Source organism: Homo sapiens, chromosome 1 (genome assembly GCF_000001405.40).
Source record: "Homo sapiens chromosome 1, GRCh38.p14 Primary Assembly".
In the NCBI taxonomy this organism is placed as follows: domain Eukaryota; kingdom Metazoa; phylum Chordata; class Mammalia; order Primates; family Hominidae; genus Homo; species Homo sapiens.
Window position 1 is genome coordinate 109,062,462 of NC_000001.11, and position 23,317 is coordinate 109,085,778.

The following is a 23,317-nucleotide window of genomic DNA, read 5'->3' on the forward strand; positions in this document are numbered from 1 at the left end:
AAAAAAAGTCACAAATCAGTCAGATTCAAGGATCAACCTGTTTAATTGTTCATATTTTATTCCTGTATCAGTAGATTAAGAAAGTAAAATTTTCCCAAGCACTGATTTATAGATCATGTTTATAAGCAGCATACAAAAAGTTAAGTTTCATAAACAATAACATTCAGTGATCTACTTAAATCCAATTGTAATCCTTACTTTAAACTAAGGGCAATAATAATTTAATACATAGAGTAAATACACACAAAACCTGTGTATTCAGAACTACAAACATGGTTTCCATAGCCACGTATGGTTTTAGTCAAGGACACATTTCCACAATGAACAAGTACTTACAAATATGTTAATAAAACACTAACCCAAATGCTTACCCTGCCATCAGCTTTTTAAACAATGCCATTCCTGCTACTGAAAGCATTTATTTTTAGAAGCTTGAATCTGCTCTGGGAAAACGGGTTCTCCTAAAACTTAACAGGATGTTATAAATCCGAAAAGATTTTAAATCAAAAAGCCTTCCAACACAGCATTATTCATGTGAAACTTGCTTTCTTTTTTTTTTTTTTGAGACGGAGTCTCGCTCTGTCGCCCAGGCTGGAGTGCAGTGGTGCGATCTCGGCTCACTGCAAGCTCCGCCTCCCAGGTTTACGCCATTCTCCTGCCTCAGCCTCCCAAGTAGCTGGGACTACAGGCGCCTGCCACCGCGCCCGGCTAATTTTTTGTATTTTTAGTAGAGACGGGGTTTCACCGTGTTAGCCAGGATGGTTTCGATCTCCTGACCTCGTGATCCGCCCGCCTTGGCCTCCCAAAGTGCTGGGATTACAGGCGTGAGCCACCGCGCCCGGCCCGTGAAACTTGCTTTCTTAAAAAATAATAATAACTTGTTATCTGAAGAAAATTAAAAGATTATCTTTTAAGAGAGATAAACATTCTTACAAAAAACTATATTTTCCTCTATCATCTCTTTAAAAGAAATGCAAACCAGTTCATTATCTTTGTTTTTTTGAGAGTCACACTCTATTGCCCAGGCTGGAGTGCAGTGGCGCCATCTCGGCTCACTGCAATCTCTGCCTCCTGGGTTCAAGCAATTCTTCTGCCTCAGCCTCCCAAGTAGCTGGGATTACAGGCACATGCCTCCATGCCTGGCTAATTTTTTAATTTTTAGTAGAGGTGAGGTTTTGCCATGTTGGCCAGGCTGGTCTGGAACTCCTGGCCTCAAGTGATCTGCCCGCCTCAGCCTCCCAAAGTGCTGGGATTACAGGTGTGAGCCACCACGCCCGGCCTAGTTCATTATCTTTAATAATGAACTAGACAATAAACTAATTGTTGTCTAAAAACTTCTGAATACATGAAGTACAAGTCTGAGCTGTCAAGTCAAAAATGCCATTTAGATTTCACATATTAAACAGCTATAGTAGGCCAGGCGCGGTGGCTCACACCTGTAATCCCAGCACTTTGGGAGGCCGAGGCAGGTGGATCACGAGGTCAAGAGATCAAAACCATCCTGGCTACCATGGTGAAACCCCGTCACTATTAAAAATACAAAAAGTTAGCCAGGCGTGGTGGCAGGCGCCTGTACTTCCCAGCTACTCGAGAGGCTGAGGAAGGAGAATCACTTGAACCCGGGAGGTGGAGCCTGCAGTGAGCCAAGATCACGCCACTGCACTCCAGCCTGCCAACATAGTGAGACTCCATCTCAAAAAAAAAAAAAAAAAAAAAAAAAGCTACAGTATAGCTTACAAGGGCATAAACATACCTAACACATTAAATACTACTTTATCCTTTAAATAGTCAAAAGTCAGAACAACGGCATGGTTTGCAAGGTACTTTGACTTATGTGTGGTCATTAAAACCCAGTAAGTAATTCAAGTATGGTAATATAAAGGCAGGCAATTACATGCACCAATATCACCCTAAAATCAAAGGCATAAAAATAAAGGCTGAAAACTTTGTGTTTCTCCATCTTTCATTTACATGGCTAGATATCAGAATCTTACTTTAGAAAATATACAATTATTATATATGGTTTCCCCAGATGGTAATTTTCGGAAACTACAAAAAGTGTCAAGATCCATAATTTGCTTCATCAAATGCTTTTCTAGCTCGTTTCAATTCTTCATTCATAGTAAGCAAGTCTTTAACCCTGGCAAACTTCCTTGGGTCCTTTCGAATCAAGAAGACGATATCTTCAACTTGTACTCGACCTTGTCTTCCAATTGACATTGCCTTGTGAGTCTATTACAAAGAAACATATTACATTTAACTTTTTTAAATCTAATATTTTACTGTTTTAATTTGCATTTATTAATTGCAAGTGAGGTAGAAGATTTTCTCTTATTATTATTATTATGGCTATTCATTTGTGAATTATCTTTCTACTCATGTCCTTTGTCTATTTTCTACTGGATTATTAGCAATGTTCTCCTTTATGCTTCACAGGCACTTTAAAAAAAATCTTAAGGACATGAAAGCTGTCAACTTTATTGTTCCTTTTTTGTTTTTTGATATATGTAGATTTTGTCTTCATTTATATAAAATAATTTTATAATTTTGTGTACCCACCCATTTCATTTATGCTTTGTGTCCTCCTCTATCTTAATACCCAATAAATATTGGTGGGTTTTCTAAAAATCAAATAACTCTATCTCATCCTGTCATTATATACTCACCTGTGCAAAATCAAAGACCTATCACAGCATTATTTCTAATGATTAAAAAATAGAAGCTAAATACTTAATAATACGGCATTGAGCCAGACACAGTGGCTCATGCCTGTAATCCAGCACTTTGGGAGGCTGAGGGGGTAGATTGCTTGAACCCAGCAGTTCAAGACCAACCTGGGCAACATAGTGAGACCCTGTCTCTACAAAAAATTCAAAAATCAGCAAAGCATGGTGGCATGTGCCTGTAGTCCCAGGTATTTGGGAGGCTGAGGTGGGAGGACCACTTGAGTCCGGAAGGTCTCAGCTGCAGTGAGCAATGATCATGCCACTGCACTCCAGCCTGGGCAACAGAGTGAGATCCTGTCACACACACAGACACACACACACAAAAAATTGCGTATCTTTAAATACTGGAAAAGGAGGGGAAAAAAAAAAACCTATGTTGGATAATGGTATTATGGATAATATTTTTATTTTATTCAAGGATTTTATAATTATGTCCTTATAAAAAATGCAAGAGGCTGGGCGCGTTGGCTCACGCTTGTAATCCCAGCACTTTGGGAGGCCGAGGCTGGCGGATCACCTGAGGTTGGGAGTTTGAGACCAGCCTGACCAACATGGAGAAACCCTGTCTCTACTAAAAATACAAAATTAGCTGGGTGTGGTGATGCATGCCTGTAATCCCAGCTCCTCGGAGGCTGAGGCAGGAGAATCCCTTGAATCCGGGAGACGGAGGTTGCAGTGAGCCAAGATCGTGCCATTGCACTCCAGTCTGGGCAACAAGAACGAAACTCCATCTCAAAAAAAAAAAAAAACAAAAGGAAGAAGGGGGGATAGAATATACATGTATAACCTCCATCCTCAATGATAAATAGTAACCAATAACTTCTGCAAACAAGCACTCAAATGGATAGCTTATTTCAAAGGGATGCCATAAGTTCTAGTCTTACCTAAAGTTTAATATTTCAAATCTATTCTTCAATTAACTAAGACCAGTTAGGAAAGAATCTTACCATTTCAGTGATAAACTCTATGACAAGATCTTCAAGAATATCCACTGACTCAGTATAAGGATTCTGGTCATCCCCAAAGCCATACATCATACATCGCACTGTAAAAGAACAATCACTTACTTTTGTTTACTTTTACAGATTTAACAATTTGATACTTTAAAAAAATAAAGTAGAAATGAACCAAGTTATAGATAATATTGGTATGAAAACATATTTACATCGTATTTGTTATCTCCAAGTATGGATTCTTGTGTAAAAGGTTTAAGAACAGTCTGATGACCAACTGTTCCCACGTAGCCTCCAGCAAAACTCTTCCTTCCTCCCACCTACTGAACCCTAAGGTAAACAGTCTTTTCCTAATCTCTAGCATCTACTTACCAGTCCCTGCCCCCAGCAGAACACCTTTAAGTAGGAAACTCTGGCAAAGGACAGGACAGACAGCAACAGCTTAGCCTTTTTTGGAGGTGGTTTTTGTGTGTGGGCATGGCAGTGGGGCGTTGGAAAAACGGCAGACTCTTTACTGATATTACCATAGGGGAAAAGACATGAGAGACAGTTCTCCAAATACTTTTTTTGTTTGTTTGTTTGTTTGTTTTTCTTGAGACAGAGTCTCGCTCTGTCGCCCAAGCTGGAGTGCAGTGGCACCATCTTGGCTCACTGCAAGCTCCATCGCCTCCTGGGTTCACACCATTCTCCTGCCTCAGCCTCCCGAGTAGCTGGGACTACAGGCACCCACCACCACGCCCGGCTAATTTTTTGTATTTTTAGTAGAGAAGGGGTTTCACTGTGTTAGCCAGGATGGTCTCGATGATCTGACCTGGTGATCTGCGTGCCTCAGCCTCCCAAAGTGCTGGGATTACAGGCGTGAGCCACCGCGCCCAGCCCCAAATCTGTTCTTATAGGAAGAAACAGGGTACTCAAAATGAGAAAGCAGAGGGCTTACTACAAGGAATTTTGACATTTCCTAGATCAATACAACTGCAGCAAAGCCCTTTCAGGCTTCATCTGAAGAAACCATAGGAAATGCAAAGGATAAGTCTAGGTCGGGTGCAGTGGCCCACGCCTGTAAACCCAGCACTTTGGGAGGCCCAGGCAAGTAGACTGCTTGAGCTCAGGAGTTTGAGACAAGCCTGGGCAACATGGCGAAACCCTGTCTCTACATAAAAAACAAAAATTAGCTGGGCGTAGGCCTGGATGGTGGCTCACGCCTGTAATCCCAGCACTTCAGGAGGCTGAGGCAGATCACTTGAGGCCAGAAGTTTGAGATCAGCCTGGCCAACAAGGTGAAAACCTGTTTCTACTAAAAAAAAAAAAAAAACACAAAAGTCAGCTGGGGGTGTTGGCACATGCCTATAATCCCAGCTACTCGGGAGGCTGAGGCATGAGAATCGCTTGAATCCAGGAGGCAGAGGTTGCAGTGAGCTGAGAATGCGCCACTGCACTCCAGCCTGGGTGACAGAGGGAGGCTGTGTCTCAAAAATAATAATAATAATAAGAGAGACTGTGTCTCAAAAATAATAAGAGAGAAGTCTAATACAGACAAATAAAAATAACTGCCAAAAGATAAAACATATATAGCCCTTATTATATGCCAGGTACTGTCTTAAGTCCTTTACATATATAACTCATTTAATCCTCACAATGATCCTTTAAGGTAGAAACTATTGATTATCCCCATTCTATAGATGAGAAAATTAAAGCACTGCAGTAACTGATTTACCCAAGGTCACAAAGCTAGTAAGAGATGGAACCTGAGTTTGAACCCAGCTGATCTGGTTCGCGTCTTTACTCATACCCACAACAGCATCGCACTTGTTGGTAGTTGTAGTTTAGGGCAGACAGGATCCGTGTGAATTCTTTTTTTTGCTCTCCTTTTTTGAGACAGTCTTGGCTCTGTCGCCCAGGCTGGAGTGGTGTTGCAGTACAGCTTGCTGCAGCCTCAACCTCCCTGGCTCACGTGAGCAGCTGAGACTACAGACACATGCCACTATGCCTGGCTAATATGTGGGGTTTTTTTTGAAACAGAAGTGTCACTGTGTCACCCAGGGTGGAGTGCAATGGCACGATCTCAACTCACTGCAACCTCCACCTCCCGGATTCAAGAGATTCTCAAACTTTAGCCTCCAAGTAGCTGGGATTACAGCCATGCGCTACCACACCCAGCTAATTTTTTTGTATTTTTTAGTAGAGTCAGGGTTTTGCCACGTTGCCCAGATAGTCTTGAATTCCTGGCCTCAAGTGATCTGCCTGCCTTGGCCTCCCAAATTATTGGGATTACAGGCCTAAGCTACCACACCCAGCCATTTAAAATTTTTTCTAGAGACAGGGGTCTTGCTATGTTGCCTAGGCAGTTTTTGAACTGGTTTCTAACTATTTATTTATTTTTATTTTTTCGTAGAGACAGGGTCCCACCTTGTTGCCCAGGCTGGTCTTGAACTCCTGGACTCAAGTAATCCTCCTGCCTTGGCCTCCCAAAGTGCTAGGATTACAGGTGTGAGCCACCACACCCAGCTGAGATCCACAGAGGTTCTTATCCTATCGCCTATAAACTCCCAGTCCAGAGACAAGCTTTAAGAAGTCCTTGAAGGCCAGCGCGGTGGTTCACGCCTATAATTCCAGCACTTTGGGAGGCCAAGGTGGGCGGATCACCTGAGGTCGGGAGTTTGAGACCAGCCTGACCAACATGGTGAAACCCCGTCTCTACTAAAAATACAAAAATTAGGGGGGCGTGGTGGCACGCACCTGTAATCCCAGCTATTTGGGAGGCTGAGGCAGGAGAATAGCTTGAACCCAGGAGGCAGAGGTTGCGGAGAGCTGAGATCATGCCAATGCATTCCAACCTGGGCGAAAGAGGGAGACTCTGCCTCAAAAAATAAAAAAAGAAGTCCTTGAGACTACCCTGAAATCATACGGAAAAATTTTATACATTATCTGTACATGGGCATTTTTCTGGGAATAATTATAACTTTTATCAGATTATCAAAGGGGTATATGTAAATGGTAAGAAATGCTGTCAAATGCTGGAAGTGTTCTGTATCTTGATCTTAGTAGTGATTACAAGTGTGTGAGTGTGTGTGTGTGTGTGTGCGCACATGTATACAGTTGTCCCTTAGTATCCTTGGGAGCTTGGTTCCAGGACCTCCCGTGGATACCAAAATCTGCAGATGCTCAAATCCCAGATATAAAATGGCATAGTATTTGCATATAAGCTAAATACATCCTATGTATATTTTAAATCATCTCTAGGTTACTTACAATACCTAATACAATGTAAATGCTATGTAAATAGTTGTTATACTATACTGTTTAGGGAATAGTGACAAGGAAAAAAGTCTATACATATTCAATAGAGGCACAGTTTTTTTTTCTGAATATTTTCCATCTGAGGTTGGTTGAATCCATGGATGCAGAACCCATGACATAGAGAGCCGACTGTATAGCATACATAAAATTCAGCAAGCTGTTCACTTAAGACTTGCACAATTTATTGTACCTAAGTTTTTTTTTTTAAAAAAGATACTCATAGAATACTTCTAAAGGAAGAAATGAGTAAATTAAGAATAATTCCTCTATTTAGAAGAAGTAAAAACTAGTAGAAGTACAAAGAGAAGAAAGTAGACCAGGCCTACAGAAGAAAAGGGTGACTTGGAAACCAGCCTGAGATAGACATATCCCTAGGGTTTTACACTGGCAAGAGTCTTTAGGTCCAGAAACAGGAGTAAAAAAACAAACACAGGAGCCAATAGTTCCTATCGTTCTGTTTTGGATTCTGTACTTTTTTTTGCCTTTTTAAAAAAAAGATAATTTTAGATTTACAGCTGAGTTGCAAAAATAGTACAGGGTTCCCATATGCCCTATATCCAGCTTCCCCTTATGTTAACATGTTATACAACCATAGGGAGTCATCAAAGCTAAGAAATTAACATCGGTACAGGTACAGACTTCATTCAGATTTTACAAGTTTTTCCACCAATGTCCTTTTTCTGTTTCAGGTTCCCATACTATTTAGTTGTCATGCCTCCTTAGTTCCCTCGAATCCGATAGTTCCTTGACTTTTTCATCTTTCAAAACCTTGACGCTTTCTTTTTTTATTTTTATTTTTTGAGACGGAGTCTCTCTCTGTCACCAGGCTGGAGTTCAGTGGTGTGATCTCGGCTCACTGCAACCTCTGCCTCCCGGGTTCAAGCGATTCTCCTGCCTCTGCCTCTCAAGTAGCTGGGACTACAGGTGCAGGCCACCACGCCCAGCTAATTTTTCTATTTTTAGTAGAGATGGGTTTTCAACATGTTGGCCAGGCTGGTCTGGATCTGCTGACCTCATGATCCGCCCATCTCAGCCTCCCAAAGTGCTGGGATTATAGGCATGAGCCACCGTGCCCGGCCCTTGAGTAGTGGAATTATAGGCATGCACCACCACGCCGAGCTAATTTTTGTATTTTTATTAGAGACGGGGTTTCGCCATGTTGGCCAGGCTGGTCTTGAACTCCTGACCTCAAGTGATCCTCCCACCTTGGCCTCCCAAAGTGCTGGGATTACAGGCATGAGCCACCGTACCCAGTCCCCCCCAAATTTTTTTTTTAAAGGTTCAGGAGAATAGATCTTTCGTCAGTAACTTCTATGAATATTCAGGTAAGATAAGGAGAAGCCTGAAGATTACAAATTCCTGTCATCACAAAGTAATCTCAGTGGAACAAAGGTCTTTGCTAACAACCGACTGAACATCACTCTGGGATGCTCTGGTACAAGGATCCCCTTCTTATGCTGACCTAATAAGTAAAAACCACATAATGGTATAAGGAGCATCAGAGAAATGAAATAAGAAATGGTCAGCATTAGTGAGGAAACAAAATATGGAAAAGGATTTGGATGTTTAAAAAATAAAACAGTGTCTGGCGGCTCATGCCTGTAATCCTAGCACTTTGGGAGGCTGAGGCAGGAGGATCACTTAAGCCTAGGAGTTTGAGACCAGTCTGGCCAACATGGTGAAACTTGTCTTTACTGAAAATACAAAAATTAGTTGGGTGTGGCCAGGCACGGTGGCTCACGCCTGTAATTCCAGCACTTTGGGAGGCCGAGTGGGGTGGATCACCTGAGGTCAGGAGTTCAACACCAGCCTGGCTAACATGGTGAAACCCGTTTCTACTAAAAATACAAAAAATTAGCCGGGCATGGTGGCACACACCTGTAATCCCAGCTACTTGGGAGGCTGAGGCAGGAGAATTGCTTAAACCTGGGAGGTGGAGGTTGCAGTGAGCCGAGATCACGCCACTGCACTCCAGCCTGGGTGACAGAGCAAGGCTCCATCTCAGGAAAAAAAAAAAAAAAAATTAGCTGGGCATGGTGGCATGCACCTATAGTCCCAGCTATTCAGGAGGCTGAGGTGGGAGGATCACTTGACACCAAGAGTTAAAGGTTGCAGTGAGCTATGATCATGCCACTGTACTCCAGCCCCAGTGACAGAAGAGTGAGACCCTGTCTCTAAGAAAATAAATAAAAATTAAGAAAATAATTTTTCTTAAAAAAGATACACTGACGCTGAAGCTGGGCACGGTGGTTCATGCTTGTAATCCCAGCACTTTGGGAGGCTGAGACGGCGGATCATGAGGTCAAGAGATCAAGACCATCCTGGCCAACATGATGAAACCCTGTCTCTACTAACAATACCAAAATTAGCTAGGCGTCGTGGCATGTGCCTGTAGTCCCAGCTACTCAGGAGGCTGAAGCAGGAGAGTCGCTTGAGCCCAGGAGGCAGAGGCTGCAGTGAGCCAAGATTGCGCCATTACACTCCAGACTGACAACAGTGAGACTCTGTCTCAAAAAGAAAATATATATATATATATATACACACATATATATATATATATATATATATATATATATACACACACATATATATATATATATATATATACACACACATATATATATATATATATATATATACACACACATATATATATATATATATATATATATATATATACACACATATATATATATATATATATATATACTGACCCTGTAGTTTCAAGGGCATTTGGGAACTGCTCACATATAACCCAGCCTAAATAAATCATATTCATAAATCTGTGCGGCCTCATCTCTCAATACTTAGACATAACTTTACATAAAGGACCCAGGACTGGGAGATGGAGAGCACATTTTCATGCTGTGTTCCAGGGCTTGGCCTGGATCATCAGTATTAGTAGCAGCTCTCCCTTCCTCGTGTTGCCAAAAAGGGTCAAAACCGTCTACTGAGGGGGTAGGATGGAGAATCAATACATTATAATCTCCATGTTATTGTTTATTTTATTTGTTTATTTATTTTGGACACAGGGTCTGGTTTCGTCACCAAGGCTGGAGTGCAGTGGTGCAATCTGGGCTCACTGCAACCTCCACCTCCTGGGCTCAAGCCATCCTCTCACCTCAGCCTCCAGAGTAGCTGGAACTACAGGGGCATGCCACCATGCCCTGCTAATTTTTGTATTTTTTGTAGAGAGAGGGTTTCACTATGTTGCCCAGGCTGGTCTTGACCTCCTGGGCTCAAGCAGTCCGCCTGCCTTGACCTCCCGAAGTGCTGGGATTACAGGCGTGAGCCACTGCATCTAGCCTCCATGTCACTATAATGCCTTACACGATTCACCACCTTTTTTTTTTTTTTTTTTAAGACAGAGTCTTGCTGTGTCACCCAGGCTAGAGTGCAGTGGCGCAATCTTGGCTCACTGAAACTTCTGCCACCTGGGTTCAAGCGAGCACGTCTGGTTAATTTTTGTATTTTTAGTAGAGACGGGGTTTCATCATGTTGGCCAGGCTGGTCTCGAACTCCTGACCTCCAGTGATCCACCCGCCTCAGTCTCCCAAAGTGCTGGGATTACAGACGTGAGCCACTGCACCCAGCTGTTCACCACCTTCTTACTTTGTTCAGGGCCTTAGTCCAAAGCCCAAGCCCCAACTCACTTGCTACTCTCCCTCAACACCTGTTGCAGGATCCATTATTACCTGTGGCTTACAGTCAAAGAAGCCTCTCTACTGCTGTAAAGGCAAGAGGAAAACTAATGGAGGTATGTTCTTCTGCCCTAAATTAAAACACTAATTACATTTGCTCACTTAAAAAGCAATTTATAGGCCGGGTGCAGTGGCTCACGCCTGTAATCCCAGCACTTTGGGAGGCCGAGGCAGGCGGATCACAAGGTCAGGAGATCGAGATCATCCTGGCTAACACAGTGAAACCCCGTCTCTACAAAAAATACAAAAAAAGCTCTCCCTCCCCCTCCCCCTCGTCTGCGTCTCCCGCTTTCCACCGTCTCCCTCTGTTGCCGAGGCTGGACTGTACTGCAGCGATCTGGGATCGTTGCAGCCTCCCTGCCTGACTACAGGCGTGCGCCGCCACGCCTGACTGGTTTTTGTATTTTTTGGTGGAGACGGGGTTTCGCCGTGTTGGCCGGGCTGGTCTCCGCTCCTGACCTCGAGTGATCTGCCCGCCTCGGCCTCCCGAGGTGCCGGGATTCCAGACGGAGTCTCGCTCACTCAGTGCTCAATGCTGCCCAGGCTGGAGTGCAGTGGCGTGATCTCGGCTCGCTACAACCTCCACCTCCCAGCTGCCTGCCTTGGCCTCCCAAAGTGCTGAGATTGCAGCCTCTGCCCGGCTGCCACCCCGTCTAGGAATTGAGGAGCGTCTCTGCCTGGCTGCCCATCCCCTGGGATGTGGGGAAGCACCTCTGCCCGGCCGCCCCGTCTGGGATGTGAGGAGCGCCTCTGCTCGGCCGCTACTCCGTCTGGGAGGTGAGGAGCACCGCTGCCCGGCCGCCACCCCGTCTGGGAGGTGAGGAGCGCCTCTGCCCGGCCACGACCCCGTCTGGGAACTGAGGAGCGCCTCCGCCAGGCCGCCCGCATCTGGGAAGTAAGGAGCCCCTCTGCCCTGCCGCCACCCTGTCTGGGAGGTGTACCCAACAGTTCATTGAGAACGGGCCATGATGACGATGGCGGTTTTGTCGAATAGAAAACGGGGAAATGTGGGGAAAAGAAAGAGAGATCAGATTGTTACTGTGTCTGTGTAGAAAGAAGTAGACATAGGAGACTCCATTTTGTTCTGTACTAAGAAAAATTCTTCTGCCTTGGGATGCTATTAATCTATAACCTTACCCCCAACCCCGTGCTCTCTGAAACATGTGCTGTGTCCCCTCAGGGTTAAATGGATTAAGGGCGGTGCAAGATGTGCTTTGTTAAACAGATGCTTGAAGGCAGCATGCTCGTTAAGAGTCATCACCACTCCCTAATCTCAAGTACCCAGGGACACAAAACACTGAGGAAGGCCGCAGGGTCCTCTGCCTAGGAAAACCAGAGACCCTTGTTCACATGTTTATCTGCTGACCTTCTCTCCACTATTGTCCTATGACCCCGCCAAATACCCCTCTCTGAGAAACACCCAAGAATGATCAATAAATACTAAAAAAATTAAAAAAATAAAATAAAGCAAAATAAAAACACACAAAAAAAATTAGGTGGGCGTGGTGGCCGGCGCCAGTAGTCCCAGCTACTCAGGAGGCTGAGGCAGGAGAATGGCATGAACCCGGGAGGCGGAGCTTGCAGTGAGCAGAGATTGCGCCACTGCACTCCAGCCTGGGCGACAGAGCGAGACTCCGTCTCAAAAAAAAAAAAAAAGCAATTTATACACACACACACAATTGGGGTTAGGATTGGTACTATCTGATTCAAAAGTTAAACAGAATTTGATAGGCTAGTCTGAGAATATTATCCCTACAGGGAAACATTCAAAGCAATAAAGCTACTTTGAAAGGACATGTCCAAAAGTTTTCATCATCTATAACAAAATCATTGTCAAATACTACTTACATTCTTTAGAAAAAAGTCTCTTTCTTTTACCCTGTCCACCTTCTGCACCTCCTCCAATTTCTTCATTTTCTTCCTCAAACTAGAAGTTAAAATGTATATATAGAAATGTCAAATAATTGCCTTGCATTTGATATTTTAATAATGACATTTTTTTTTCCTTTTCAACAGATAGGCCAGAAAGCCAAAGGAAGCAGCAAAAAAAAAAACCACGAAACCTTAGCATTGAAGGAGCCTATGTATCTAGTCCAACTTCCAACTCATGCAAAAATGGCTTCTACAATGTTCCTAACTAATAATCCTACTGCTTCTACTTGTAAGAGTTCCAATGACCATAAGTTTTATTTTTAAACAACTAAGGTGGCCTATTACTACTGTTACTGTTAAACAGTTGATACTGAATCAAAGTCTACCTTTGTAGACTTTGTAGTAAGCAAAACTAATATTTCCTATGCATTTGCTTATACAGTGCTAAAAACGTTCCTTAAGTAAGCCCGTAACCCTATTTTATAAAAAGAAAACTGATGTTCAAAGTTAAATAACTTGCTCAGAGAGAATGGAAATTTTGAAATCCAGGCTGTCTGACTTTCAATGCATTCTTTTCCCATTACTTCACAGTAAGTACAGTTTTGTTAACAATTGAACTGTTGGCTCATAGTGCGCGCTAATAGATGTTAGTTTTGATCTCTGATGATTCTGTACGTGTTTCAGTGTCTGGCAAATACAGACCAAAATCAAGGGGAAAGGGGTCACAAAACCTACTCTTCCTTCATGTCCTTCCCCACTTTCTAAAATGATCAATCCTTAGGGCGTGAAGTCCCCGAACTCTGTCCGCTGAATTCACTAAGGCAAGCAGACCCGATCCTGAACTCTGCCTCCGCTACTGAGCCCGAAGGAGTGAAGAAAAGACAGGTTTTGGACAGAGACGGTCACTCACCGTGGGGTCTTCTTCCTCATCTGCCATCCCACTAGCACGCCAACTCACAGCGTCCTGCCGGCTGGCTCCCAGCTGGTTACACTACTTCCGCCGCCTCACTTCCGGTGACGCGCGGGGCCGTAGCTGGGCCTAGCCCTCTGCGGCCTGCGGGAGGACGGTGGTGCTTTCCGGCCTAGCGGCGGAAATGCGACAGTCTCTAAGGGAGGAGGCCGGAGCGCCTCCCTGTAATCCCGAAGGAATTGAAAACTAACAAAGAAAAGGAAATCACGGGCTAGGTCGCGAGTATCTCGTTGTCACCCTGAATTTGCTACTGCGTATTGAATCACAGCTTCTTGTTTGGGGACTGCGAAGCTATGGATCATAGGAGGGCAAGCCAGCAGTCCTTTATCAGACAAATATGCTTTTAAATCATTTTAAAGATTTGTAGTTCCACTGTTTCTAAGCACTGTGTTAATTATTGGGGATACTGTGCTTCATCACAAATTTCCAAGAGATGGTGTCCCGAGACTAAGCATTTAAAATTTTGTGAAGGTTTTTTGATTTTTTTTTTTTTTTTTTTTGAGACGAAGTCTCACTCTGTCGCCCAGGCTGAAGTGTGCAGTGGCGCGATCCCGGCCCACTGCAACCTCTGCCTCCCGGGCTCAAGTGATTCTCCTTCCTCAGCCTCCCGAGTAGCTGGGATTACAGGCGTGCGCCACCATGCCCGGCCTTATTTTTGTTTTTTTGAGACACAACCTCACTGTCCCCCGGGATGGAGTGAAGTGGCGCAATCAGGGTTCACTGCAGCCTAGACCTGCTGGGCTCAAGCCATCCTCCCACCTCAGCCTCCAAGTAGCTGGGATTACAGGCGCACACCACCAATGCCCAGCTAATTTTTGTATTTTTAGTAGAGATGGGGTTTCCCCACATTGCCCAGGCTGGTCTGGAACTCATGGCCTCAAGCGATCTGCCCCGCTCTGCCTCCCAAAGTGCTGGGATTACAAGTGTGAGCCACCGTGTCCACCGGGGAAGGCTTTTGGTCAGAACAATGGCTGGCAAAACCACAGGCATCGGAAGGCCAGAGCTAGGGATATAATATAAATGTCCCTACAGTGTAACAGATGATGCTACATAAAGAAAATCCCGTAATACACACGATTTCTGAATGTCCTGCTGAACATTCGGTGAGTGAAAACTAATTATCTGAGAGTTGAACCTATCTTTGTTAATAAACACAAAGCGGCCGGGCGCAGTGGCTCACGCCTGTAATCCCAGCACTTTGGGAGGCCGAGGTGGGCGGATCACAAAGTCAGGAGATCAAGACCATCCTGGCCAACATGATGAAACCCCGTCTCTATTAAAAGTACAAAAATTAGCTGGGCGTAGTGGCGCACGCCTGTAATCCCAGCTACTCGGGAGGCTGAGGCAGGAGAATCGCTTGAACCCGGGAGGCAGAGGTTGCAGTGAGCCGGGATTGTGCCACTGCACTCCAGCCTGGTGACAGAGCGGGACTCCACCTCAAAAAATAAAAATTAAAAAAATAAACACAAAGCATTTTCCCACACTTTTAATGTACGTTGAAGTTTCTAGGAATGTTATTACCCCAAAATTGAATAGTAATTGTATTTTGTTTGGTCTGGAATTCATTAAGAGCTGTGTACCATTTCAAGAAATAACGTCACCAAAAGCAACATCACTTGTAATAATTTGAATAGTGAATAATGAAAAAATAACTTTGATTTGAGGAATGTGAGTTAAATTATTAGGCCCAAAGAGGCATTAAAATGAGAGGCAATCACATCCTGCTTGCCCCCTTTTGAGCTATGTATTTATGTCTTAAAACCGCTTGCTATTGCCACAAGTATTAGTTATAAATTAGCCTAATTATGCCCCATCAGACACCATATCGCACACCCTATAGCTTGATAATGTTTAGCCAATTACTAATCAATGTTATTTTTGTGAACCAATGAGAACTCCTTAAAGACAACTTTGTATCAGCCCACTCCCTGTCCTCATTCTTTTCCTTTAAAAATCCACTTGTACCTGCTGCTAATCTTAGAGTGTATATTCTAGGCAACTTTATGCTGCTGAGTTGTAATCCTCAAGTTTGGCCCAAATAAACTCTCTATTTATATTAATTTTGCCTCAGCTTCTTCCTTTTAGGTCGACAATACTCACCCAAATCAGTCTGCATTCAAAGCAATTCTACATATAGGTAGAAGCATCTGAAATCTTCATTATCCCCCCCTAGTGCCATCATACCTGAGTATTTATATATTGAAACAAATGTTACTATTTTTACTTTACTTTTATATTACCTTTATGCCTGACCTCCTGGCCACTGGATCACTGGATCCTGTTAGGATATTATGTTATTTTCAAAATTATGTGAGTAGGTAGATATATTAGTTATTTATTGCTGTAACAAATTACCCCAAAACTTAGTGGCTTAAAACAAATATCACACAGTTTCTGTGGGTCAGCAATGTGGGTGCAATTTAACTGGGTGCCTGTGGCTCAAGGTCCCTCCTGTTGCAGTCGGGATGTTGGCTGGGGCTGCAGTCATACCTCAAGTGTTGATGGAGGAGAATTTGCCAGAGTCACTCACAGGTTGCTGGAGGTTTCACTTCCTCCAGGTTGTTGGACTAAGGGCCTCAGTTCTTTAATGGATGTTGCCCAGAGGTCTCCCTCAGTTCCTTGCCATGTAATCCACTCCATAGGGCAGCTCACAATGTGCCAGTTGCCTTCCTCCAGAGGACACAAGTGGGAGAACCCAAAAGACAGAAATCACAGGTTTTTTGTTACCTAATTTTGGAAGTGACATCCTATAATTTCTGCCCTATTCTATTCACTAGAAGTAAGTAAAAAAGTGCAGCTAGGGCTGGGCGCAGTGGCTCACACCTGTAATCCCAGCACTTTGGGAGGCCGAGGTGGGCGGATCAGGAGGTCAGGAGTTTGAGACCAGCCTGGCCAACATGGTGAAACCCTGTCTCTACTAAAAATACAAAAATTAGCCGGGTGTGGTGATGCACACCTGTAATCCTAGCTACTCAGGAGGCTGAGACAGGAGAATTGCTTGAACCCGGGAGGCGGAGGTTGCAGTGAGCTGAGATGGTGCCACTGCACTCCAGCCTGGCCGACAAAGCAAGACTCCATCTCAGAAAAAAAAAAAAAAAGTGCAGCCCAAGTTCAAGGAGAGGGGATTACATAAGGGCAAGAATATTGCTGGGGAGATCACTGGGGGCTTTCTGAGAGGTCACCTACCACAGTAAATTATATTATTTTTGAATTTCACTACACAATAATGGAGACACTGTATTTGTTATTAATATTTAAAGGAGATTGTTGAGCCTGATAGGTTTGAGAACTGCTTTTAGGTAGTGATCCAGTGTCCAGGAGGTCAGGCATAAAACATTCATAGTGTCTGTTATCAGTGGAGTAGATAGGTAAAATATGCTGGATGCACAGCACGGAGTACAATGCAGCAATCAGAAGCAATAGATTTAGCAACATGGACAGAACTTGAAAACAGTGCTAAGTTAAAAAAGAAACAATAAAATCTATAATATAATACCATTTATAGAAATTAAAAATACTACTTATTTTAAAGGAAAATATAAAAAAGCGTAAACATTAAACACACTAGAAAGTTGCAGTGTAGGAGAAATGGGAATAAGGATAAAAGGAATAAATTGATAAATAAAAAGTGAAGGACTTTGGAAGGGCCAATTGTAATACTATGCCATGAGCTGCGGCATGTGAATAATTCAATCCTGTGAACCTGAGATCCAAAACACAAAGTGGGGGAAAAAAAATTGCAGTGTCAGTCCAGGCGTGGTGGCTCACGCCTATAATCCCTGCACTTTGGGAGGCCGAGGCGGGCGGATCACGAGGTCAGGAGATTGAGACCATCCTGGCTAACACAGTGAAACCCTGTCTCTACTAAAAAAAATACAAAAAATTAGCCGGGCGTGGTGTCGGGCGCCTGTAGTTCCACCTACTTGGGAGGCTGAGGCAGGAGAATGGCATGAACCCGGGAGGCGGAGCTTGCAGTGAGCCGAGATCGCGCCGCTGTACTCCAGCCTGGGCAACAGAGCAAGCCTCCGTCTCAAAAAAAAAAAAAATTGCAGTGTGATAAGCAGAGCAGAAGGAAAACACAGAGTAAAAAGTCATGGTGTGCTTCTACAAGATGTTCTCTGTGGGTTGCCAGAGCCAAGTTTTTTGGGTGGGGATGCAGGAAACGAGGCTGGAATTTGCGTGTGAAAGGCCTTAAATGTTCTCTTCAGAGACTGAACTTCAAACTACAGAGTTCTTGGGAAGTCTTTAAACAGATGTGTCACATGACTTTACAGTTTTTAAAAAGATCACTTTTGCGGGGAAACTAGGATGAGAGATGATTATAATCTGAATTAAGGCAAAGAGGAAGAAGGAACTGATTTAACACAAACTTTACGAGACAATTTACAGGACTTTGTGACAATGAATGTGAAAGCTATTGACAGAAGAATGGAATGCTATTAATATAAATAGGAAAGAAAAAGGGGAAAGAAGTTGGAAGTGGAAGGAAATGAGTTTAGTCTGTGTTTGAGAGTCTGGAGATGTACTAAAACTGATGGAAATCCAGGCCAGGAATTACAGGCCCGGAAATCCACAGAAAAATTAGTACTAGAAGCCGGGTGTGGTGGCTCACGCATGTAATCCTAGCACTTTGGGAGGCCAAGGTGGGTGGACTCCCTGAGCTCAGGAGTTCGAGACCAGCCTGGGCAACATGGTGAAACCCTGTCTCTACTAAAACACACACACACAAAAAGAAAGAAAGAAAGAAAGAAAAATTAGTACTAGAGAAAATGACATGGGAGATACCATCACAAAGTGATAGTCTAGAGATTGCACGGAAACAAAGGCTGAGAGAATAGAGGCAAAGGGCACAGCCTTAGAAACAGTACATCAAGGAGACAGAGTGACAGAAGGAATAGTCAAAGAGGTAGGAAAAGATAAAAGTAGGATAAGGAGGAGGAGAGGGAGGAGAAAAACTGAAAACCCAAAAAGAAAAAGTTTCAAAAAGAAGCAGGTTTGGGCTGATCACTTGAGGTCAGGAGTTTCAGACCAGGCTGGCCAACATGATGAAAACCTGTCTCTACTAAAAATACAAAAAATAAAAATAAAATAAAAAAATTAGCCAGATGTGGTGGCGAGCACCTGTAGTCCCAGTTGCTCGGGAGGCTAAGGAAGAAGAACAGCTAGAACCGAGGAGGCGGAGGTTGCAGTGAGCCAAGATCATGCCACTGCACTCCAGCCTGGGTAACAGAGCAAGACTCTGTCTCAAAACAAAACAAAACAAAACCAACAAAGAAAAGCAGGTGGCATGGAGTGCTCAGTGCCAGAGATTACAAGATTGAAGATTTCTCTTTTTTTTTTTTTTTTTTTTGAGACAGAGTCTCGCTGTGTCGCCCAGGCTGGAGTGCAGTGGCTTGATCTCGGCTCACTGCAAGCTCCGCCTCCCGGGTTCATGCCATTCTCCTGCCTCAGGCTCCCGAATGGCTGGGACTACAGGCGCCTGCCACCGCGCCCGGCTAATTTTTTTTTGTATTTTTAGTAGAGATGGTGTTTCACCGTGTTAGCCAGGATGGTCTCGATCTCCTGACCTCGTGATCCGCCCACCTCGGCCTCCCAAAGTGCTGGGATTACAGGCTTGAGCCACCGCGCCCGGCCACAAGATTGAAGATTTAAGAAAAGGCCTTGGATTTGACAATTAGGAGGTATGGGAATGATCTGGAGAACAAAGTTTGAGGGTGTTGGTGAAGATGGAAGCCAGATTATAACAGGTTAAAGAACGAGTACATAGTTGGATACTGAAGGTAGAAAAGCAAAGAGGAAAGTAGCCTTAAGAGGGCAGTAAAGGCCGGGAGCGGTGGCTCACTCCTGTAATCCCAGCACTTTGGGAGGCCGAGGTGGGCGGATCAAGCGGTCAAGAGATTGAGACCATCCTGGCTAACATGGTGAAACCCCGTCTCTACTAAAAATACAAAAATTAGCTGGGCGTGGTGGCACGCACCTGTAGTCCCAGCTACTTGGGAAGCTGAGGCAGGAGAATCGCTTGAACCCGGGAGGCAGAGGTTGCAGTGAGCCGAGATCATGCCACCGCACTCCAGCCTGGCAACAAGAGCGAGATTCCGTCTCAAAAAAAAAAAGAAAGAAAAAAGAGGGCATTAGGACCTAGGAATGTGGACTTTGAATAAATGATTACTGAATGAATGAAGCTGTGAACTTATCCCAGCCATTTAGCTAACTGCTCAGAAAATCCTGTTTTTCATTACAGCAAAAAAATGGAATGAGCTTTTAATGAAAAAGGTAATGACCAAAGAGATTTGTTCACAAAAGAATGGAATCAGCAGAGAGGTAATTGATAGAAGGAAGAAATGGAGCTCTATGAGAGTAATTTGGAAGGAATGGCAGGGGTGGGATTATCAGAAATGAGGAAAGCAGGAGCTGGATGGTGGGTCTGAGAGGTGTTAGTGATGGGATATTGGTAGGCAGGTAGCACCACTCAGACTCCAAATCAAGGCAGAAGCTTTGCAGTCCCACCCCTACCTCCACTTTCACCCCTCCATCCCAGGGTGTAGACGTCTACAGTGCTTCTCCCTAATTTGGGCTTAGTGAGGTTATGTCACTTTTAAAATGGCTTTCAGAATTTCTGCAATAATCTTAATGGAGTCTTAACCACACTTCCTATGGTCCATGGTTAAATATGCAGACTCTGAGATCAGATAGGTTGAGTCTGAAATCCTAGGTGTACTATTTATCAGCTATGTTACCTTGAGACAACTTACTTGACCTGCTGGTACACCCATTTCCTCATCTATGACAGGGGGATAATAATAGTTACTAACCATATAAGGTTATTATGAGGTTATTAGATGTGTTAATAACCATAAAGTGTTTTGGGTAGTACCTGGCATGTAGTGAATATTCCATAAGTATCATTGTTTTTATTTTTTTTTATTTTTTGAGATGGAGTTTCACTCTTGTTGCCCAGGCTGGAGTGCAATGGTGCAATCTTGGTTAACGGCAACCTCTGCCTCCCGGGTTCAAGTGATTCTCCTGCCTCAGCCTCCCGAGTAGCTGGGATTACAGGCATGGGCCACCACGCCTGGCTAATTTTGTATTTTAGTAGAGATGGGGTTTCTCCATGTTGGTCAGACTGGTCTTGAACTCCCGACCTCAGGTGATCCGCCCGCCTTGGCCTCCCAAAGTGCTGGGAGTACAGGTATGGGCCACCGTGCCCGGCAGTTGTTTTTATTTAAGGGCCTACCTTTCACCATTATCTTCTGCTGTTCTCCTTCATGAGCTCTGCATTCCAGTTCCACAAGGCCACATTCAACTATTCATGCAATAAATATTCATGAAGCACTTGCAAAATGTTTAGCACTAGCTATGGGATTGTGGATAAAATGACAAAACAAATGAACATTACAATATAGCAGGGGGACATAAGTTAAACAGATATAGTATGCTTTGGAAACATGATCAGGGAAGTAGACTGAAGGTCCGAGAAGTCTACCTTGAGCAAGTGAGGTCTGAGTTGGGACTTGAGGGATGAATGTGAGTTAGCCATTGAAGGAGGAAGGGAGGCTTTACTGTGCCCCAATCTTACCTTACACTTTCCCTCTCCAGGGCTTTGATGGCTCAATTCCCTCCCCACTAGAATGCTCTTTATTTCTGCTTATTGAAATGCTATAAGCTTTTCAGGCCCAGCTAAAATGTCTGCTCCTCAATAAAGCCTTCCCTGAACGCTCCAGCTGAAGGCAGTTTCCCATTTCTACGCACCCCCCCGCCACCCTGGCACTTAGTTTTCATTTTCCTTGGACACTTCTCACTTTCTGCTGTATTTTTTGGTTATTTATAAACACAGCTTATCTTTTTCTACTAAATCTTAAACTTTTTAAGAACAGAGTCTATTTCTCATTCATCTTTGAGTTCCCAAAGGCTAGCACATTCCTTAGATTTAGAAGTCCTGGAACAAATGTTTGTAGCATAAATTAATGCCTATTTGACATCCCTTTTCAAATATGTTGTAATTCAAATGAAGCTATTGTTGCAAGCTGTGCCTTTGAGGCTCAACTTACTCTTTGGTTAAACCAGAATGCCACAGTCATGGTCCCCATGACTGATTAGTGTTCACCACAATAACTGCAACAACCCTAACAAACAGGCCACTGTTCTTGACTGACAGGCGTTTGGCAACAACTACCAATTCTCCAGTGAACACTGAAATGAATTGAGGAAGAACTGTCTGAATTGAGAGTCCCTAGGCCAGTAGGCTCTATTTATTCTTTGCAGTTGGGCTGCAAGAGCTGGTCACCCAGGCTTTGGCCTGATGTGAGACATGACTGCACTGGGTGGCAGTGAGGCTATGAGACTTTCCAGGGTGACAGAAACATTAATGATTGTAACAAAATAATCAAAGATCAGTATCAGTGGAAAGCACTGTAATTTGAGGCAGTGTGATAACAAGGGAAAGGGAGCTTTGAACTTAGACCTGGGTATGGATCCTAACAGGCTATGTTATCTCACCCACGTCCCTTCTTTAAGTCTCAAGATTTAATTAAAAAAAAAATCTGTAAAACAGTTGTGAAAATCAAAGATACTGTCTTTACACAATGCTCATGTTCTATTAAAATGTGTTTATTCATCTATCTTACCCAACATATTTTCTTCTCTGAGGGCAGGGACTTATTTATGCCCCATTTCTGCAAAATCAAGCAAAGTGCTTAGCACACAGTAGTAGACACTGACAAGTACTTTTTTTTTTTTTTTGAGACAGGGTCTCGCTCTGTTATCCAGGCTGGAGTGCAGCAGTACAATCATGACTCACTGCAACTTCCACTTCCAGGGCTGAGGTGATTCTGCTACCTCAGCCTCCCGTGTAGCTGGGACCACAGGCATGCATCACCATGCCTGGGTAATTTTTTTATTTTTTGTAGAGACAGACTTTCACTATATTGTGCAGGCCAGTCTTGAACTCTTGAGCTCAAGCGATCCGCCCACCTCAGTGCCCAAAGTGCTGGGGCTACAGGCGTGAGCCACCAGGCCAACCACAGATACTTTTAAAACAAATTGTAGCAGGAGGAGCCTCAGACAAAACTCCTCAGACACCGAGTTAAAGAAGGAAGGGGTTTGTTCGGCTGGGAGCATCGGCAAGCCTCCTGTCTCAAGAGCCGAGCTCTTCAGGTGCTCAACTTGTGCTTTTAAGGGCTCACAACTCTAAGGGGATCCACATGAGAGGGTCATGATCGATTGAGCAAGCTAGGGGGTACATGACAGGGGCTGCAAGCACCAGTGGTCAGAGCGAAACAGAACAGAACTGGAGGTTTCACAATGTCTTTCCATACAATATATGGAATCTATAGATAACATCAGTTGCTAAGTCACGGGTCGAATTTTAACTACCAGGCTTAGGTCAGGCAGGCCTAGGCCTGGTTTCAGGTGTGGTTCCTAGGCACTGGGCTACCTGCCTTTAGTTTCTCTTCTCTTTCCTTTTCTGAGTATAGAACAATATGAGAGGGTCTCTCTCTTCCCTCAAAATGAACAACAATAATAGCTATCATTTATGGAATACTTACTCATGTCAGATATTGTTGTAAATAGTAATTCACTTAATCCTCCAACAACCTTAGAAAGGAACTAACTTAATTTCACAGAAAACTGAACTTTTTTTTTTTTTGAGACGGGGTCTCACTCTGTCACCAGGCTGGAGTGCAGTGGCGCGACCTCAACTCACTGCAACCTCCTCCTCCCGTGTTCAAGCGATTCCCCTGCCTCAGCCTCCCGAGTAGCTGGGACTACAGGTGCGTGCCACCACGCCCAGTTAATTTT

General features: G+C 43.9%; 1 protein-coding gene and 1 long non-coding RNA gene across 3 annotated transcripts, besides 4 other annotated features; both read right to left on the minus strand.

Moving 5' to 3' along the window:
* Window positions 1-1,678: 1,678 nt before the first annotated feature.
* Window positions 1,679-13,542, minus strand: TAF13 (TATA-box binding protein associated factor 13). The gene is made up of 4 exons (NM_005645.4): window positions 13,460-13,542; window positions 12,526-12,604; window positions 3,674-3,771; window positions 1,679-2,232 (listed from the first exon to the last, which is right to left on the minus strand). The coding sequence occupies exons 1-4, from the start codon at window positions 13,484-13,486 to the stop codon at window positions 2,062-2,064; spliced, it is 375 nt and encodes a 124-aa protein (NP_005636.1). The 5' UTR covers window positions 13,487-13,542; the 3' UTR covers window positions 1,679-2,061.
* Window positions 4,674-5,477: an enhancer, noted in NCBI's record as "H3K4me1 hESC enhancer chr1:109609757-109610560 (GRCh37/hg19 assembly coordinates)". NCBI's record gives its function as "activates a minimal SCP1, AML or CMV promoter by ChIP-STARR-seq in primed H9 embryonic stem cells {active_cell/tissue: H9 hESC(primed)}" and the evidence as "EXISTENCE:reporter gene assay evidence [ECO:0000049][PMID:30033119]".
* Window positions 11,799-12,785: an enhancer, noted in NCBI's record as "NANOG-H3K27ac-H3K4me1 hESC enhancer chr1:109616882-109617868 (GRCh37/hg19 assembly coordinates)". NCBI's record gives its function as "activates a minimal SCP1, AML or CMV promoter by ChIP-STARR-seq in naive H9 embryonic stem cells {active_cell/tissue: H9 hESC(naive)}" and the evidence as "EXISTENCE:reporter gene assay evidence [ECO:0000049][PMID:30033119]".
* Window positions 13,390-13,449: an enhancer, noted in NCBI's record as "active region_1433". NCBI's record gives its function as "activates an Ori minimal core promoter by ATAC-STARR-seq in GM12878 lymphoblastoid cells {active_cell/tissue: GM12878}" and the evidence as "EXISTENCE:reporter gene assay evidence [ECO:0000049][PMID:35858748]".
* Window positions 13,550-13,799: an enhancer, noted in NCBI's record as "active region_1434". NCBI's record gives its function as "activates an Ori minimal core promoter by ATAC-STARR-seq in GM12878 lymphoblastoid cells {active_cell/tissue: GM12878}" and the evidence as "EXISTENCE:reporter gene assay evidence [ECO:0000049][PMID:35858748]".
* Window positions 15,831-22,289, minus strand: TMEM167B-DT (TMEM167B divergent transcript). 2 transcript variants are annotated; one of them, XR_947688.3, is made up of 2 exons: window positions 20,754-22,289; window positions 15,831-16,185 (listed from the first exon to the last, which is right to left on the minus strand). It is a non-coding gene; the product is annotated as a TMEM167B divergent transcript (long non-coding RNA). The 2 variants fall into 2 exon arrangements; XR_007066295.1 differs by having other exon boundaries at window positions 15,831-16,189.
* Window positions 22,290-23,317: the final 1,028 nt, after the last annotated feature.